This window comes from Homo sapiens, chromosome 13 (genome assembly GCF_000001405.40).
Source record: "Homo sapiens chromosome 13, GRCh38.p14 Primary Assembly".
NCBI classification, from domain to species: domain Eukaryota; kingdom Metazoa; phylum Chordata; class Mammalia; order Primates; family Hominidae; genus Homo; species Homo sapiens.
The window spans coordinates 95,399,399-95,405,398 of record NC_000013.11 but is presented as its reverse complement, the minus strand read 5'-3'; the positions used below and the strand labels follow the sequence as shown (position 1 = coordinate 95,405,398).

General features: G+C 46.0%; 1 long non-coding RNA gene across 1 annotated transcript in view; it reads left to right on the top strand.

Moving 5' to 3' along the window:
- The first annotated feature begins 310 nt into the window (after positions 1-310).
- Positions 311-6,000, top strand: part of LOC124903193 (uncharacterized) — a 53,667-nt gene continuing 47,977 nt past the window's right edge. Inside the window, exon 1 of the long non-coding RNA XR_007063839.1 lies at positions 311-1,074. This is a non-coding gene — a long non-coding RNA (uncharacterized LOC124903193). The remainder of the gene's footprint in view (positions 1,075-6,000) is intronic.

Here is a 6,000-nt window from a genome sequence, read left to right as displayed (position 1 = left end):
AGCCGACACATCCCCTCCTCCACCAGAAGACACAGAGCACGCACACGTGCCCACCGCTGCAGCTGGCTGGTCAGCCCACTGAGCAGCACTGGGCTTATCTCCCTTTTCTTGGGCAGAGTGCATATGGGGCCAGAATGGGACCACACTGGGTCTCACCAATGTGTGGTTGACTTAGGCATGACATGACACAGCTGTCAGCTTATAAGGTGCAGAGTGATTTTCTATCTTTGAGGAACATTGCTGTCTGTTCCATTATACTGTTTATTCCATTTATCTTAATATGGCTTACAGATCACCAATTTACTTATTAACTATACTGAACATATGCTTTTAGTTTTGTGTACATTATCCAACTTGCTTCCTTACAGGGAGAACAAAGCACCTTAATATTGTCCTGAAATCACCCCAGGTGGGAAAGTCAGCCACAGCTTCTGCAAAGGAATCGTGGAACACTATCAGATGTGCAAGTAAGGGCTAGCACATACGTAACCAGATTTAGATATTACTCTTACATAGACATTTATTGCAGTGAGGAATATATATTTGGAGGCGTCTGTTTCCACAATGCTATATATTTTTGAAAAGTGCTACTGTCACAATAACTCATGCACTATTATTCTACTGTGTCTTTATAATGCTGGAAGAAGAGGGGCCAGGATTGTGCTAGTCATCACGCCCCTTGCAACCCGTCTTGCTCCTGCAGTCCTCTGCCTTTCTTTTGGCATGTGCACTTCTTGTTCCTGCCATATGAGTCTGTTAGAATACGAACATAAATTATTTTGAGCAGATGTGAACTAATGTTACCCTACTTGAAGAAAAGAAAGGAAAAACCTGCCGGACAACTCTGTTGTCACCTAAAAGAAAAGCACTGATGAGCTCCAAATAGATGGAAAGTCGATTCCTACAGTTGCCCTGTTTTGCCACGCGGTGGCGCTGATGCACCAGGAAGACACCACGGCTCTGGAGCGAGCAGCTGCTCTGCTGGCTTGGATCTGTCCCAGAAACGTCTGAGGGAGGTGGTGACCCTGAGAAGGGAAATGGACAAGATGATGAGCCAGAGAAAATGGATGAAAGGTAAGAACATGGAGACAGTGTAAGGCAGACGTTAAGAACGTTGACTTTGGAGCCGGGCGCCGTGGCGCACACCTGTAATCTCCGCACTCGGGAGGATCGCTTGAGCCTATGGGAATTCGAGACCAGCCTGGGCAATATAGTAAGACCTCCCAACTCCTCCAACCCCCACCCCGCAAAAACGGAATGTTGACTCTGGGATCCACTACGTTGCTTTCCAATCCCAGCTCTGCCACTCAGGCACCTCAGTTCGCACTTTCTTACTGAGAAAGTCAGAGGGACTGGCTAAGGGCAGACCATTTGGTGGGAAACAAGTGGGGATACGGTTTGGATGTGCGACCCCGCCCAAATCTCCTGTCGAATTGTAATCCCCAGCGTTGGAGGTGGGGCCTGGTGGGAGGTGATTGGATGGATCGCGGGAGGAGGGGTGGGTCTCTCATGAATGGTTTGGCGCCATCCCCTTGGTGCTGTCCTGGCGATCGTGAGTTCTCCTGAGACCTGGTTGTTTAAAAGTGTGTGGCATCTCCACTCTCTCCTTTTGCTCCTGCTTTGGCCATGTAAGGCGCCTGCTCTCCCTTCACCTTCCAACATGATTGGAAGCTTCCTGGAGCCTCCCCGGAAGCAGATCCCAGTATAATGCTTCCTGCACAGCCTGCAGAACCAGGAGCCAATTGAGCCTCTTTTCTTTATAAGTGACCCAGTCTCAGGCATTTCTTTATAGCAATGCGAGGAGGGGCTGATGCAAGTGGAATTACCCTGCTGAGGACAGGCACACACTAAGCACATAGTACTCATCTAAGGGCCTAGAACACAATAGAAACTCGAGAATATATCATGTTGGTGGAGGGGGAAGATGCAGTGACTTTGTATTTACAAACGGTCTTTTAGCTTAATTCTCTCTACTATTTCTCACTTTGTGGAAAAAGGAAATGAAAAATCCACTGAACTGATTTATCCACAGCAGGTACATAAAGCCACTAAAACTGACCCCCTGTTTACTCCTTCTCTTCCACCCACCCCAGCAACTTCCATTTGTCAGCAACACTGCTGGATAAAGTATTGCCAGGAGGAGGTACTAATTCACCAGAAACAGCCCACAGTTGCTGAAGACTGAGTTTTTGCTCCCCTCTCCCTAAGCAACCTGACACCAATTAATCTTTTATTAAAGAAAATTGAGGCCGGGTGCAGTGGCTCACGCCTGTAATCCCAGCCCTTTAGGAGGCCAAGCGGGCAGATCACCTGAGGTCAGGAGTTTGAGACCAGCCTGGCCAACACGGTGAAACCCAATCTCTATTAAAAATACAAAAATTAGCCGGGTGTGGTGTCACACACCTGTAGTCCCAGCTACTCAGGAGGCTGAGGCAGGAGAATCCCTTGAAACTAGGAGGCAGAGGTTGCAGTGAGCCAAGATCATGCCATTGCACTCCAGCCTGGGTGACAAGAGCAAAACTTCATCTCAAACAAAAAAAGAAAAAGAAGATTGAGAGTTGCTTGACAGCAGTTGACCAACTTGGCATCATTCTGTTGTCAGTTATCAGTCTAATGACTAATTTTTTGGTGAAAAGGAGGAGAAAAAGCGGGTGGGGGGGAAGTTCATGAGTCTAATCCACAATGACACTGGCTTCTTTTTTTGAATGTATATAAAAGCAAAGAAGCAATTAGCTTCACATAATGGATCATTTATAGATCATTTTTACATTTCGAAATTATTTTTAAAATATTTTCAGTGGCCAGGCGCAGTGGCTCATGCCCGTAATCCCGGCACTTTGCGGGGCTGAGGCGGGCAGATTATTTGAGGTCAGGAGTTTGAGACCAGCTGGCCAACATGGTGAAACCCTGCCTCTAACACAAGTACAAAAATTAGGTGGGCGTGGTGGTCCATGCTTGTAATCCCAGCTACTTGGGAGGCTGAGGTGGGAGGATGGCGTGAACCTGGGAAGCAGAGGATTATATATATATTTTTTCAGTTACCATTAACAATTGAGTGGTGCTGTAGGCTGTAATCATAACAAAACAGAGACTCATAGGGAAAATGAATCTTAGCTATAATTTGGCTGACATTCTGATATATCATTCATTTTGAATGAAAGCTAGGGTTTAGGCAAGATATGTTTCCTCCAAAATAAATAGGTAACAATTTTTATTCATTTATTATTGTATTTTAATTTGTTTTGTTTTTTGAGACAGAGTCTTGCTCTGTTGCTCAGGCTGGAGTGTAGTGCCGTGACCTCGGCTCACTGCAAACTTCATCTCCTGGGTTCAAGTGATTCTCCTGCCTCAGCCTCCCGAGTATCTGGGATTACAAGCATGCACCTCCACACCCAGCTAATTTTTGCATTTTTAGTAGAGACAGTGTTTCACCATGTTGGCCAGACTGGCCTCAAACTCCTGACCTGAAGTGATCCACCCGCCTTGGCCTCCCAAAGTGCTGGGATTACAGGCATGAGCCACCTGCCCGTCCCTAGGTAACAATTTTTATATTTCCAGTTGCTTATTTTCTCAGTTGTAAATACTGCAGTGCCTACTAGAGTGCTTGATACATTCTTCTCTGTGTGGTAGAGGCAATAGAAAAATGGTACTCAATGACAGTAGTTTATGTAGGAAAAATAATAATCTTATCTCCCCCTCCTACAACTCAACATCACCTCCAAAATTACTGAAGGAAACTGAAATATTTCACCCCAAAATAGATTTCCTTGACATGGTACAACATGGCTATTCAGAAGGTCTGGAAATAAAGGAAAAGCTGCAAAGCTACCCTTTGTTGGGGAGATTTGCACCTGTAGAGAAAATCCACACGGGTGCAACCAGGCTTTCCCTGAGGCCTTCCATTGTCCAATCTGGGAAAGATGAACTGAGAGTCCGACACCTTTAAACATCTGAAAAGAACATTCACCATCTCTTCTCTCTGAGAGCTGCTACCTGTGAGATTTCATCTACATAACAAGATGACCTTTGTAAGCCAAGCCCCCTCTTCTCTCCTTCCCATAACCTGTCTGGTCTTGCTCCAAGCCCTCGTTTTTTCTGAAACCTCAAGATGGTTACAGAAAAGCATCAACCAGGCTGGGCAAGGTGGGACCATAATCCCAGCACTTTGGAAGGCCAAGGTGGGAGGATTGCTTGAAGCCAGGAGTTTGAGACCAGCCTGGGCAACAAAGTAAGACTCCGTCTCTACAAAAAAAAAAAAAAATATATATATATATATATGTATACATATATACATATATATATGTATATATGTATACATATATATATCACACATATATACACATATATATGTATATATATATGCAACATGACAAAACCCCATCTCTACTAAAAATATAAAAATTAGCCCAGTGTGCTGGTGCATGCCTGTAGTCCCAGCTACTTGGGAGGCTGAAGTGGGAGGATTTCTTGAGCCCGGAGGTTGAGGCTGCAATGAGCCATGGTCAAGCCACTGCACTCCAGCCTGGGTGACAGAGTGAGACCCTGTCTCAGAAACAAACAAACAAACAAAAAATTAGCCAGATGTGATGGTGTGCACCTGTGGTCCCAGCTATTCAAGAGGCTGAGGTGGGAGGATCGCTTGAGCACAGGAGTTCAAAGATCCAGTGAGCTATGATCGCACCACTGCACTTCAGCCTGGGTGATGGAGTGAGACTCCATCTCTAAAAAAATAGCTATTAAATTAAAAAAAAAACTTTTAAAAAAGAAGCATCAGCCATCCAGCCATGTATCTGAGGTCTTACGACTCCCATGCATATTAATGAATTTGTATGCCTTCTCTGTTCTTAACCTGCTTTTTGTCAGTTGACTTTTCCATGAGCCTTCAGAGGGTGAAGGGGAAGCTTGCCCTTGGCCCCTAAAGTACTGTGGGTTTTGTCTGAGAATTACCCAGAGGTCAGGGCACAGGTGGACACAGGGAACTCCATGCTGTATCCCCTGTGGTCTGAGGTCTACCTGAAGCTGGATGCCAAGGCCCTTGCCAGGGTAGGGGTGGGCTCCCCAAGATCACCAAGGAAAAGCCCAGAACTACTTCCTTTCCTTTCCAGTCCAACACACCCAGAATTCTCCCTCTTAAAGACTTGGTTCAGGCCAGGTGCGGTGGCTCACACCTATAATCCCAGCACTTTGGGAGACGGAGGCAGGTGGATCACTTGAGGTCAGAAGTTCAAGACCAGCGTGGCCAACATGGTGAAACCCCATCTCTACTAAAAATACAAAAATTAGCCGGGTGTGGTGGCAGGCGCCTGTAATCCTAGCTACTCTGGAGGCTGAGGCATAAGAATTGCTTGAATCCAGGAGGTGGAGTTTGCAGTCAGCTGAGATCGTGCCACTGCACTCCAGCCTGAGTGACAAAGTGAGGCTCCGTCTCAAAAAAAAAAAAAAGACTTGGTTCAAATGGAAGCTATGCCTATAGTACACAGCTGTATGTATCTGTGTGTAGGTGTCTTCAAAGTACGTTTTTTTTTAATTAAAAAAAAGTTTTTGAGACAGGATTTCACTCTGTTCCTCAGGCTGCGAGTGCAGTGGCACGATCACAACTCACTGCAGCCTTGACCTCCTGAGCTCAGCAATCCTCCCACCTCGGCCTTCTGAGGAGCTGGAACTACAGGCACACACCACCATGCCCAGCTAATATTTTCATTTTTCATAAATATAGGGTCTCACTATGTTGCCCAGGCTGGCCTTGAACTCCTGGGCTCAAGCGATCCTCCCACCTGGGCCTCCCAAAGTATTGGGAACATAAGTTACCAAGTTAGTTCCTTTAAAAATATTTTTTGAGTCACTGTGCCTGGCCCAAAATATGTTTTTAAAGGAGCTAACTTGGGCTGGGCGCGGTGGCTCACACCTGTAATCCTACCACTTTGGGAGGTCAAGGTGGGCAGATCACTTGAGGTCAGGAGTTCGAGACCAGCCTGGCCAACATGGTAAAAACCCATCTTT